We start from the raw sequence: 12704 nt of genomic DNA, 5'->3' as shown, positions 1-12704 counted from the left end.
ACCCCAGAACTACAGAGACATAAAACAGAGGCCCCCTGAGTACCACCTGTGATAAGAGCCTGTGTGTGTCACCCTGTGACGTAATCACTGCTCCTCCTTTTACAGATTAGGAAAATGAAAACCAGGCAGATGACAGCCCAAAGCCCAAGCTCTCTTTCTTTTCTTCTTCTTCTTCTTTTTTTTTTCTTTTCTTTTTTACAGGGTCTCACTCTGCCTTGCTAGAGTGCAGTGGCATGATCACAGCTCATTGCAGCCTCGACCTACCGGGCTCCAGTGATCTTCCCACCTCAGCCTCCCGAGTAGCTGGGACTACAGGCCCACACCACCATGCCCAGCTAAGTATTTTTCATAGAGACGGGGTTTCACCATGTTGCCCAGGCTGGTCTCAAACTCCTGTGCTCAAGGGATCCACCTGCCTCGACCTCCCAAAGTGCTAGGATTACAGGCATGAGCTACTGCACCTTGACCAAGCTCTTTTTTCTACAGCCTAGTGACCACAAGTGACATGAGAGGATGGAGTCTGAACATGGTTTCACAGAGTCACAGGCTGGTCACCTCAGTGGGTTGCAGAGAGACTCAGGCAGACAGACACAGGGAGACACACATAAGAGTTAGACACTCACTCGGGTACACAGATTCCCCGTCGCCCCGCTGGCCCTCAGCTCCTGCCCACCTGGCTGGCCCGGAGCTCGCTCTCGGTGGCCTGCAGGCTCCTCTCCAGTGTGGCCACCTGGTCCAGCGTGGCCCGGCGCTCCCGCTCACTGCGCCGCACACTCTCCTCCTGCAGCGCCAGCTCCGCCTGGACCCCGCTCAGCCGCCCATCCACACTGCGCCGGGCTGTAGCCACCACCCACCCCGTCAGGCATGGCCAAGCACAGCCCCGAGACCCAAACCAGGTCACAAAATGTCCAGCCTGCACTCCACCCAGTGCAGGGCCAGACTGTCTGCACCCTTCGTAGTATGCGGGCCTGCACACAGGTGAGGCTGTCCAAGGAGGGTCCTCTTGGAGACAGCCCCGAGTCAGGTCATGGGGGCCACGGCAAGGTCAGAGGCCAATCCCCCGGCTCCTGCCTCAACTGCCCAAAACACAGGAGAGAGAACAGGGACCCCGAGGATCAGACTCACCTTCCTCACTCTCAGCCACCGCCTTCTGCAGCTGCCTGGCCCTCGAGGTTGCGCTGTCCCTCTCAGCCTCCATCTCGGCCAGCTGGCGATTCAGGGCACTGGTCTGGGTCCGAAGTTCGTCCTGTAGCCCCGACATGGGGGAACAAAGACAGACCCCTGCTCTGACACCCTGCAACCTCCCCAGGGCCCTCCAGGTTCCCCATCCAGCCATGCACACCCAGGCTTACCCGTTCTCTCTGGGCACTCCGCAGCTCTTGCAGGAATTCCCGGAGGGCCCCGCGCACTGCCTCCGGGTCCAGGTCTGGAGAGGCTGGGGAGGTGGCAGGTCCTGGAGATGGTGGCTGGGACCCAGGGCTGCATTCTAAGGTGCTGGGGCTGTTGAGCCCTTCCCCGCTTCCTAGAAGAGAAAGAAGACTTGCTCAGTGATGCAGAAGCCACGGGCCTCCCACACATCTCACTCACTGTCATCCCTGCCTTTCCCAACAGCCCTCAGAATCAAGCCCAACTTCTCTGCTATAGCTTAGGGGTCTTCTTGCCCATCCCAGCTGAAACCCTCTCACCCTTTACAAACTGGCCACCCTGCATCTCCCATGTTCTAGAACATTCTTTGTCCCAGCTCCAGGGCCTCTGTACATGCTGCTCCCCTTCTCCCCATGGCCTCTCTTTGCCTGGCCCATCCTTTAGGGCCATCCCTCTCCCTCAGAGGCCTCTCTGGCCACAGGCTGGATTACAGTGAGCTCATCCCACCCTCAGCGGGGTCTGATGTCTGCCACCCCCACCCCGACCAGGAGCACCATGAGGGCTGGGCCTCGTCTCTTCCATCCACCACTGTTCCCAGGGCCCAGTGCAAGGGTGGTTGCTGCATCACCTCAAGTCTCTCCATACTGAGTGCCCACTGTGCTAGGCACTTCATCTTCACAACAACTTCCTGACAGGTAAGGAACAATTTACCCTCTTCCCAGGCAAGGCTGGCACAAAGCAGTTAAGTGATTTGCTTGTTCTGTTGACTGGGTGTGGTGGCTCACACCTGTAATCCCAGCACTGTGGGGTCCGAGGCAGGCGGATCACTTGAGGTCAGGAGTTCAAGGCAAGCCTGGCCAACATGGTAAAACCCCGTCTCTACTGAAAATACAAAAATTGGCCAGGTGCGGTGTCTCATGCCTGTAATCCCAGCACTCTGGGAGGCCAAGGCAGGTGGATCACCTGAGGTCAGGAGTTCGAGACCAGCCTGCCAACTAGTGAAACCCCATCTCTACTAAAAATACAAAAATTAGCTGGGCGTGGTGGCATGCACCTGTAATCCCAGCTATTCGAGAAGCTGAGGTTGGAGAATTGCTTAAACCCGGGAAGCGGAGCTCGCAGTGTTCCTAATCGAACCGCTGCACTCCAGCCTGGGTAACACAGCGAGACTCCGTCTCAAAAAAAGAAGAAAGAAAAGACTGGGAGCAGTGGCTCACACCTGTAATCCCAGCACTTTGGGATGCCGAGGTGGGCAGATCACGAGGTCAGCAGTTCGAGACCGGCCTGGCCAACATGGTGAAAACCCGTCTCTACTAAAAATACAAAAATTAGGTGTGGTGGCGGGCGCCTGTAATCCCAGCTACTCAGGAGGCTGAGGCAGGAGAATTGCTTGAACTGGGACCTGGGAGGCAGAGGTTGCAGTGAGCTAAGACTGCACCATTACACTCCAGCCTGGGCAACAGAGTGAGACTCGGTCAAAAAAAAGAAGAAAGAAGAGGAAAGAAAAGAAAAGAAAGTAAGGAAGGAAGGAAAAGAAAGGAAAAGAAAAGAAAAGAAAAGAGAAAAATTAGCTGAGCATGGTGGCCCACGCTTATAGTCCCAGCTACCTGGGAGGCTGAGGTCTGGAGGCTGAGGCAGGAAAAGCACTTGAACCCTGGAGACAGAGGTTGTAGTGAGCTGAGACTGTGCTGCACTCCAGCCTGGGCAACAGAGAGAGACTCTGTCTCAAAAAAAAAAAAAAATAAAGAAAAAAGAAAAGAAAAGAAAAAGAAAAAAGTGGGCCCGGCACGGTGGCTCAGACCTGTAATCCCAGCACTCTGGTGGGAGGCCGAGGCGGGCAGATCACCTGAGGTCAGGAGTTCAAGACCAGCCTGGCCAACATGGTGAAACCCCCATCTCTACTAAAAATACAAAAAATTAGCTGGGTGCAGTGGTGCACGCCTGTAGTCCCAGCTACTCAGGAGGCTGAGGCAGGAGAATCGCTTGAACCCAGCAGGCGGAGGTTGCAGTGAGTCGAGATCGCGCCATTGCACTCCAGCATAGGCAATAGAGCGAGACTTGGGCTCAAAAAAAAACAAAAACAAAGTGATTTGGTTGTTCTCAATGCTGGGAAGTTTCAGGGCTGAGATGGGAATCCAGGCAGCCCGACTCCCTGGCAGCACTCCTGCTTGGAGTGATGGCCCGGGGAGGTGGAGGGGGCAGGGCGGGTGGAACCAGGGCACTACCTGGAGGCTGGCACTGGAACTGCAGGACACGGGTCCTGCCATGAGCATCCTGCCTTGGCCGCAGAGGGACACCAAAACTGCTCCGCAGCCATGAACTTGGTCACCACCCAAAAGGCCTCGCTCAGAGGTTCCCAAAGAAGCAGGCCTGCCCCTGGGGGCCTCCAGCTCTAGAAGGTCCCATCGTCTCAGGGTAAAAGTCCCCGTAGAGGCCTATAATGTCTATTGGAGCAAGCCCTTCGTCCCCAAATCTCACCCCCCTGCTTGATGCTCTGGGACTGCTGGCCCCTGCTGTCCACAGGACAGGCGCACCTCCACTCAGGACCTCCCTACTCGCCCCGAGTCCCCCTCCCAGCTGCTCGCTCACGTTCTCCCCTTACCCATCACCTCCTCAGTGAGGCACCTGCTGCCCCCGCATGAACTGCCCTAGCCCCTACCTTGGCTTTGCCCAATTTTTTTTTTTTTTTTTTTTCTGAGACGGAGTTTCGCTCTTGTTGCCCAGTCTAGAGTGCAATGGTGCGATCTCGGCTCACCACAACCTCTGCCTCCTGGTTTCAAGAGATTCTCCTGCCTCAGCCTCCCGAGTAGCTGGGATTACAGGCGTCTGCCACCACACTTGACTAATTTTTTGTATTTTTAGTAGAGACAGGGTTTCACCATGTTGGCTAGGCTGGTCTTGAACTCCTGGCCTCGAGTGATCCACCCGCTCCGGCCTCGCAGAGTGCTGGGATTACAAACATGAGCCAACGTGTCTGGCCATTTTCATCATTTTTAAGTGTACAACTGAGCGGCATGAATTACATTCACACTGTTGTGCAGCCATCACCATCATCTGTTCCCAGATCATCCCGACTGGAGGTCAGGAGTTTGAGACCAGCCTGTCCAACATGGTGAAACCCCATCTCTCCTAAAAAAAAAAAATATACATATATATATATGTATATTTATATACACACACACACATACACAAAAATTAGCCAGGTGTGCCGGGCACAGTGTCTCATGCCTTTAATCCCAGCACTTTGGGAGGCTGAGGTGGGCAGATCACGTAAGGTCAGGAGTTCAAGACTAGCCTGACCAACATGCTGAAATCCTGTTTTTTTTTTTTTTTTTTTTTTTTTTTGAGACGGAGTCTAGCTCTGTCGCCCAGGCTGGAGTGCAGTGGCGGGATCTCAGCTCACTGCAAGCTCCATCTTCCGGGTTCACGCCATTCTCCTGCCTCAGCCTCCCGAGTAGCTGGGACTACAGGTGCCTGCCACTGTGCCCAGCTAATTTTTTTTGTATTTTTAGTAGAGACGGGGTTTCACTGTGGTCTCGATCTCCTGACCTCGTGATCCGCCCACCTCTGCCTCCCAAAGTGCTGGGATTACAGGCATGAGCCACCGCGCCCAGCCTTGAAACCCCGTCTCTACTAAAAATACAAAAATTAGCCAGGCGTGGTGGCACACGCCTGTAGTCTCCCAGCTACTCAGGGGGCTGAGGCAGGAGAATCACTTGAACCCAGGAGGCAGAGGTTGCAGTGAGCCGAGATCGTGCTACTGCACTCCAGCTTGGGCAACAGAGCAAGACGCCATCTCAAAAAAAAACAAAAAGAATAATTAAAAACAATACAGTGTAACAAGTGTAAGATTTCCACTTAGCTGTATTTGGTATCCTAAGTAACCTAGAGATGACTGAAAGTATGTGGGAGTATATGGCAGGATGGAAGCTCAGAAAATCAGATAAGGAGTCAAAGGCATTAAGAGCCCTCCAGCCCCCGGTCCAGGAAAGGCACGGTGGCTCACGCCTGTAATCCCAGTGGGAGGATCGCTTGAGTCCAGGAGTTCAAGACTAGCCTGGGCAATATGGCAAAACCCCATCTCTACTAAAAACACAAAAATTAAGCAGACATTGTAGTGCACACCTGTAGTCTCAGCTACAAAGGAGGTTGAGGTGGGAGAATCACTTGAGCCCAGGAGGCACAGGCTGCCAAGGCAGAGGGAGCCAAGATCACACTACTGCACTTCAACTGAGGTGACAGAGTGAGATCCTGTCTCAAAAGTTGAAAAAAAAGAATCACCCCACTTCCCCAAAAAAATAAGTGGCCTAGACCGGGTGCCGTGGCTCATGCCTCTAATCCCAACCCTGAGAGGCTGAGACAGGAGGATCGCTTGAGGCCAGGAGTTTAAGACCAGCCTGGGCAACATAGTGAGACCCCGTCTCCACAAAAACTACAAAAATTAGCTGGGCGTGGTGGCACACCTGTAGTCCCAGCTACTCAGGAGGCTGAGGAGGGAGGACCACTTGAGCCCGGGAAACAGATGAGGCCTGGTCTAAAGAAAAAAGAAGCGCCCTTGAGAAGCACAGATCAGTGAAGGGAGGGGTCTCGGTGAGGGGACGGGGCTAAGAAGTGGACCTCAGTGGAGAGGTGTGGTGGGCTCCTTGAAAAAAAACAAAAACAAAAACAAAAACACCCTGCCATGTGGGGGCGGGGCCTCAGTGCGGCCCGCCCACCTCCCCCCTTCCCTGCGCGCGGCACTGCCCTTACCTTCTGCGGGTGCGTCCCGGGCAGGGGAACCGGGCACTGGCCGCGGGGCTGGGCTGGGCGCGCGACCGAGGCCGAGGCCCCGGCGCAGAGCCGAGCGCAGGCCACCCAGCTGGGCCTCCGCCGCGCGCCGCTGCACCTCCACGCGGGCCAGCTCGGCCTCCAGGCCTTGTGCCCGGCCCTCGGCTGCGCTCAGCCGCAGGCCCAGCTCTGCAGCCTCGGCCCGCGCCGCCTCCAGCTTCAGCTCCAGGCCGCGGGCGTGGTCCAGCTGCTGCTTTTCAGTGCCACGCGCCTCCTCCAGGGAGCCCAGCAGGCGTCGCTCGCGGGTCCGGAACTCGCCTTCTTGTTCCTGCAGCTTCCGCTGGGCTACCTGGAGCTGGAGTGATGCCAGGAGGTGGAGGTCGGCAAGACCTCTCCCAACCCGACGCCCCACCCCTAAGGCCCAGACTGGAGCCCACCATCCCTGACTGTGTGGTCAGTACAACCCTTTCTCCTTTAGTGCTCGCCACTCAAGCAGGCGGTGCAAAAACATCCCCGTGGGAGGAAATACTAGAACTTGTTTATTAATCTCTTTATTCTTTATACAAGCCTTGTAATGCCCATAGTTTATTAGTAATAACAGCTGGCATTTGAATACATAGGGCTTATCAGTGCCAGGCACTAAGTAACTTTCCAAAAAATATTAACTCTAATTACTACTCTATGAATCGATCTCACTTTACAGAAGATGAAACAGGCACAGAGATGCTAAGTAACTTGTCCAAGGCCAGAGTTAGTAAACTGCAGAGCTGGGATTCAAAGCCAGGCACTCTAGCTCCAAAGGCTGTTTTTTTTGTTGTTTTTGTGGGTTTTTGTTTGTTTGTTTTTGGAGACAGAGTCTAGCTCTGTCACCCAGGCTGGAGTGCAGTGGGGCAATCTCAGCTCACTGTAACCTCTGCCTCCTGGGTTCAAGTGATCCTCCCACCTCAGCCTCCGAGTAGCTGGGATTACAGGTGAGCACCACCATGCCCAGCTAATTTTTGTATTTTTAGTAGAGACAGAGTTTTGCCATGTTAGCCAGACTGCTCTCGAACTCCTGGCCTCAAGTGATCTGCCAGCCTCGGCCTCCCAAAGTGCTGGGATTACAGGTGTGAGCCACTGCGCCCGGCTGTTTTTGTTTCTGTTTTTTTTTTTGTTTTTTGTTTTTAATAGCTTGACAGCAGCTTATTAATCACATGTACTCACAGCCCTGGGGGGTGGGGGAAAGGCGGGGAGGCATACCACACGGGGCCACACGGGGGCTGTGGGCTGCACTTGAGAACACAGTGAACAGCCAGGAAGGTTAAGTGCCCACTGGTTCCAAAGGGAGCTGTGTCCAGAGGCTGTTCCCTTAACCACTAGGCTACATTGCCGCCCTTGCCCATAATTTATCAATAAATTTGCACACAATGGGGGCATGCACTAAAATATCATTTCCTGATGGGATGCATGGTCACACAGACACAAAGCCACCCCTGCCATTTAGAGAGTCAACCTCTCACGGTCACCAGTTTCACTGGAAACCCATCTACTGAGCAGCTGGTTGCCAGGACCTGTGCCAGGGCCCTTCATACATGCTCGGCTGTGCTAGCCCATCTCTCATGAGCGCTCTGAGGCACAGAGATGACGTGACTTGGTTCAGGCCACACAACAGATTCATGGCAATGAAACAGCCGGAAAAGGCAGAGCGGGTAGCCTGTGGGCTTTGGAGTCAGACAGACTTAGGTGGCTGTGTGACCTTGGGTAGATCCCTCGACCTCTCTGAGGGCTCTGTAAAATGGGGCTAATGGTAGGAAGGGTGTGGTGGCTCACACCTGTAATCCCAGCACTTTGGGAGGCCGAGGCAGGTGGATCACCTGAGGTCAGGCGTTTGAGACAAGCCTGACCAACATGGTGAAATCCTGTCTCTACTAAAAATACAAAAAATTAGCTGGGCGTGGTGGCAAGCACCTGTAATCCCAGATACTCGGGAGGCTGAGGCAGAAGAATTGCTTGAACCCAGGAGGCGGAGGTTGCAGTGAGCCGAGATGGTGCCAGCGCACTCCAGCCTGGGCGACAGAGTGAGACTCCATTTCAAAATAAATAACTAAATAAAAAGGGCTAACAGTACCTACCCCATAGGGCTGCTGGGGAAATCAAACAAGGTTGTATCTACAGGGCCTCTCCCTACCCATTTTGTGCCGGCACACAGTAGGCCCACTGTTCTTTGGGTTGTTGTTACTACAACTGGGGAAGAGTCTCAAGGAGTGGGGGAAGGAGCAAGCCCTAGGGAGTGGCCTTTCAGAATGGCCCCAGCATTGGGGTGCCCACCTGCTTCCTGCTGGGGGAAGGAAAGATGCACCAGCCTGCCCGCCTGCTCAGTTACCTCCTGCCGCATCACCTCCAGGCTGGCCTCGCCCTTCAGCAGCCTCTGCCGGAGGCCCAGGGTCTCCCGCCTGCTCTCCTTCTCTGCCCGCTCGCCCAGCGCCAGGCGGCCCTGCAGCTCCGCCAGCTCCCGGCCCAGTCTGGTGTTCTCACTGTCCAGCATCTTCATCTGTGAGAGCACGGGAATGGCAGCAGGTTCAGCTCTGCCCCTGTACCCTCCCAGTTCTGGCCCAAGGCCACTTGGTACCTACTGCTGTAGGGACACATGTATCAAATACCACCCCACATCCACTGGGAGCCGGCCCCTACACAACCACACTGAACTTGGGCGATGCCAGGCACTTGGGCACCAGTGGCCTGTTTACCACTTAATCAATGGGCCAAAACTACCTTTCATAAAGGGGTGGGTATAATAGAAGGAGGGCTCAGCCCTTAGCAGACCAGGAGTTCACAGGCAGGAACCACAGCTCCCTGGGTTATCTTTCCCCTCTACGATGGCGATGAACGTTTTTGGAGCGCTTACCATGTGTCCAGTCCTGTTCTAAGCACTTCAGTTATATTAACTCGTTTAATCTTGGTACAATGCTATATGAGGTAGGTAGTAACATTATCCCTATCTAACAGATGAGAAAACTGAGCCTCAGAGTGTCAGAGTAACCTCCCCAAAGTCACACAGCCCACACACACCAGACTGGGATTCGATCTGAGACAACGGCAATGTTCTAAGCCCCTATTTCCCCACAGGAGCAGGGAGGGGTACTGCCTACCTCCCCCATGTGCTACAGCAGGGGTAACAGGAGAGGCCGTAGCATGCAACGCGTCCAGCAAAAGCTGGCACGCAAATGCCAGCTCCTTTCCGGGAGTCTTGTGGTTTCTCAGGAAGGGGCCTGGGTGAAGGGGGCTGTGGTATCTCTGGCTATCAGAGTATCAGAATATCTCTGGCTATCCAGTTGTGATCTCTTTTTTTGTAATTAAAAACAATTTTTTTAATTAAAAAAATTTGGGGGGGCCAGGCATCGTGGCTCATGCCTGTAATCCCAGCACTTTGGGAGGCCAAGGTGGGTGGATCACCTGACATCAGGAGTTCGAGACCAGCCTGGCCCACATGGTGAAACCCTGTCTCTACTAAAAATACAAAAAAATTAGCCAGGTGTGGTGGCGGGCATCTGTAATCCCAGCTACTTGGGAGGCTGAGTCAGGAGAATTACTTGAACCCGGGAGGCGGAGGTTGCAGTGAGCCGAGATTGCGCCACTGCACTCCAGCCTGGGCAACAAGAGTGAAACTCCATCTCAGAAAGTAAATAAATAAATAAAATAAAAATTAAAAGTTTAAAAACTTTTTTTAGAGTCAGGGTCTTGCTTTGTCGCCCAGGCTGGAGTGCGGTGATGCGATCACAGCTCACTGCAGCCTTGACTTCCTGGGCTCAAGGGATACTCCCACCTCAGCCTCCCAAGTAGCTGGGACTCCAGGAGCGTGTCACCACACCTAGCTATTTTTTAAATTTTTTGTAGAGACTGGTTCTCACTATGTTGCCTGGGCTGGTCTTGAACTCCTAGGCTCAAGCAGTCCTCCCAACTTGGCCTCCCAAAGCATGAGATTAAAGGCATGAGCCATCACAGCTGGCTAATTTTTCGTATTTTTAGTAGAGACAGGTTTTCACCATGTTACCCAGGCTGGTCTCGAACTCCTGGGCTCAAGCAATCCACTGGCCTCCGCCTCCCAAAGTGCTGAGATTATAGGTGTGAGCCACTGCGCCTGGCCTGGTTGTGATATCTCTGGGTGAGGCAGCGCCTAGGGGCTGAATGAGGCCATTTCCTGTTCTTTGCATCTTCTAGAGTGAGAAGCCTGAACCCACAGTGTCCAGGCCAGTGCCCAGTAGACAGCAGGTGCTTCTTCAATACATGCTGCTGTTGAGTTTGCAGATCATCGAATTCACGGGTCAGCGAACTACAGCTCACAGGCCAAATTCAGCCCATCTCCCGTTTCTACAAGGGTCTGAGTTAAGGATTTTTTTTTTTTTTTACATTTTTAAATCATCGAAAATGGATCATTTCTAAAGGAAGAACAACATTTCTTGACACATGAAAATGACAGAAAATTCACATTTCAGTGTCCCTAAACAAAGTTTTACTGGAACCCACACCCCTCTGTTCATGCACTGTTTGGGACTGCTTTCTCACTACCCCAGCAGAGTCAAGTAGTTGCAACAGAGACTGTGTGGCCCGTAAAGCTGGAAATATTGACCATTTGGGCTCTTTACAAAAAACCATTTGCCAACCTCTGACCTAGTTCACAAAATCTGTACCTTTTGTTGTTTGCAGATTCCTTTGAGAACTGGACAAGGACACCAGCTCCTCTCCTTGCAGAAATGTGAGCCTGAGTGTGCACACAAATGCACGCAGACTTTTGCACAGTTTCAGGGATTCAAGGACTCCTCAAAGCCCATCCATTCACACCAAGGTTAGGTGAGAGGGCTTGTCATAGTTCAAGCCCCTGGTTTTACATAGGGGTAGAAACGTAATTCCAGAAAGGGGGAGCTATTGGCCCGGGGCACACAGCAAGCCCCAGGCTAAGGGGTGGCACAGGGAGAGTACCTGACGCCGGAGCTCCTGCAGCTCCCGCCGAGCCTCCAGCCGTGAGCGCTCCACCTCCTGCAGCCCAGTTCGCAGCTCCCCGGCCTCCTTGCCCACAGCTGTCCGTGCCTCCTCTAGGAGTGCCAGCTTCTGCTCCTTGTCCTCATTGGCAAGCTTCAGGCTGGAGAGGGCAGAGGTCAGGGGCTGCCCTGGGTCCTGGGAGTAGTCAGTGGCTCTACACAAAAGCCGTCTCCTCCAATTTCTGGAGTGGATCAGGCACTGCCTGCCCATGTGGCCTCTCTGAAGAGCTAAGCCCTGAGCCCTGCAGGGCTGGGGCCCAGGCCCTCGGCTGGGAGGGGTAGACCAGTGACTCCAGGAGGGGACCTGGTTTCCAGGGTGATGACGGTGGGTGGGTCTGAGTCTGGACCCAAAGCTGCCCACTGCCCCTCTGCCCCTTTCCCCAATCAACAGGGAGGAAACCTTCCTAAAATCACCCAGGTGCCAGGCTCTGCTTAGGAGACAGAGGATCCGTATCTGGGCAATTTCCCCAGAACGTTGGGGGTGAAGTTAGGTTTCAGGGATGGGATCCCATGAGGACTCAGGACTGGTCCTCCTGCGACACCCCACCTGATGCGCTCGCTCTCTGCCTTCTTCACAGCAGACCGAAGCTCCTCATTGGAACGCCGCAGGGCCTCGCGCTCCTTGGCACCCTCGCCCAGGCTGCGTCGCAGCTCGCCTGCCTCCTGGCGCTGCACCTCCCGGCCCTCCTGGCTCTCACGCAGCTTGCGCTGGGCCTCCAGCAGCTCCCGCCGCAGCCCGTCACGGGCATCCTCCAGCAGACGCAGCTGGGTCCGAAGCTCTTCTGCCTGTGAGCACAGCAGGTGTCCCCAGGGCAGCGGTCAGGGACCCCCCCGTCAAGCTGGGTCTTGTACCCCAGATCCCTGGACCCAGGGAGCCTGCCCCATCCCTCTGCAGTGCTCAGACCGCAGGCTGTGAGTTATCATTTGAGCAAGGCGTGCTGTAATCAGTAATGTTTTGACCTGAAGTCACCATCAATCAGGACTGTCCTGAGCACAACACCAAGAGGGCAGAGACCCCACTCACCCCTCCTTGAGGCCAAATCCCACCTGTACACAACAGGTGCTTCGTAGTGCTTGCTGCCTCCTTTCTAAGTTGCTATTCATTGGTCCTCAAATGCAGGGAGGAATCTTACACTCTTCTGGGGCCCTGGGGAACTAGGCCCCCAGGCACACAGTGCCATTTAGGGTATGCTGCTTGGAAGAGGGGGGCGGCTGCTCACCTCGCGAAGACAGGAGTCCCGCTGCTTGCCCAGGTCTCGGGCCTGCTCTTGCAGCCTCCTCACCTCCTGGGCGTGGGCCGCAGCAGCCTCCTCCCGCTGGGCCCGTAGGTCCCGCAGCTCAGACGTCAGAGCGTTCACGGTGCTCTGGGACAGAGGGGCTCCTCAGACTTGGTCCTGCTGTGTCCCCCAGCCCCGGGCTGCTCCCAACCCGCTCAGTGCACTGTCCACTTTTAGCTCTAAACACGGCCCCTCCCGCTGGCCTGCCGGACCCTCTGCCAACCCCTGGATGCATAGTGAGTGCTGCCCGTGTAGCCAGCCTCTCCCTCACGCCAAAAGG

General features: G+C 54.7%; 1 protein-coding gene across 9 annotated transcripts in view, besides 1 other annotated feature; it reads right to left on the bottom strand.

Moving 5' to 3' along the window:
* The window catches only part of CROCC (ciliary rootlet coiled-coil, rootletin), a 58880-nt gene that overhangs the window by 5720 nt on the left and 40456 nt on the right, over window positions 1-12704 (bottom strand). For all 9 annotated transcript variants that reach the window (XM_047435134.1, XM_047435120.1, XM_006711058.4 and 6 more), the window contains 8 exons: window positions 12368-12511; window positions 11695-11933; window positions 11089-11248; window positions 8495-8662; window positions 6115-6487; window positions 1353-1522; window positions 1126-1246; window positions 674-837 (listed from right to left, as the gene is read on the bottom strand). In XM_047435134.1, coding sequence (XP_047291090.1) covers window positions 674-837; window positions 1126-1246; window positions 1353-1522; window positions 6115-6487; window positions 8495-8662; window positions 11089-11248; window positions 11695-11933; window positions 12368-12511 — 1539 coding nt within the window. The remainder of the gene's footprint in view (window positions 1-673; window positions 838-1125; window positions 1247-1352; window positions 1523-6114; window positions 6488-8494; window positions 8663-11088; window positions 11249-11694; window positions 11934-12367; window positions 12512-12704) is intronic.
* Window positions 6046-6235: a silencer, noted in NCBI's record as "silent region_338". NCBI's record gives its function as "represses an Ori minimal core promoter by ATAC-STARR-seq in GM12878 lymphoblastoid cells {active_cell/tissue: GM12878}" and the evidence as "EXISTENCE:reporter gene assay evidence [ECO:0000049][PMID:35858748]".

This window comes from Homo sapiens, chromosome 1, assembly GCF_000001405.40.
Source record: "Homo sapiens chromosome 1, GRCh38.p14 Primary Assembly".
Lineage (NCBI taxonomy): Eukaryota > Metazoa > Chordata > Mammalia > Primates > Hominidae > Homo > Homo sapiens.
This window is presented reverse-complemented; position numbering and strand designations above follow the sequence as displayed.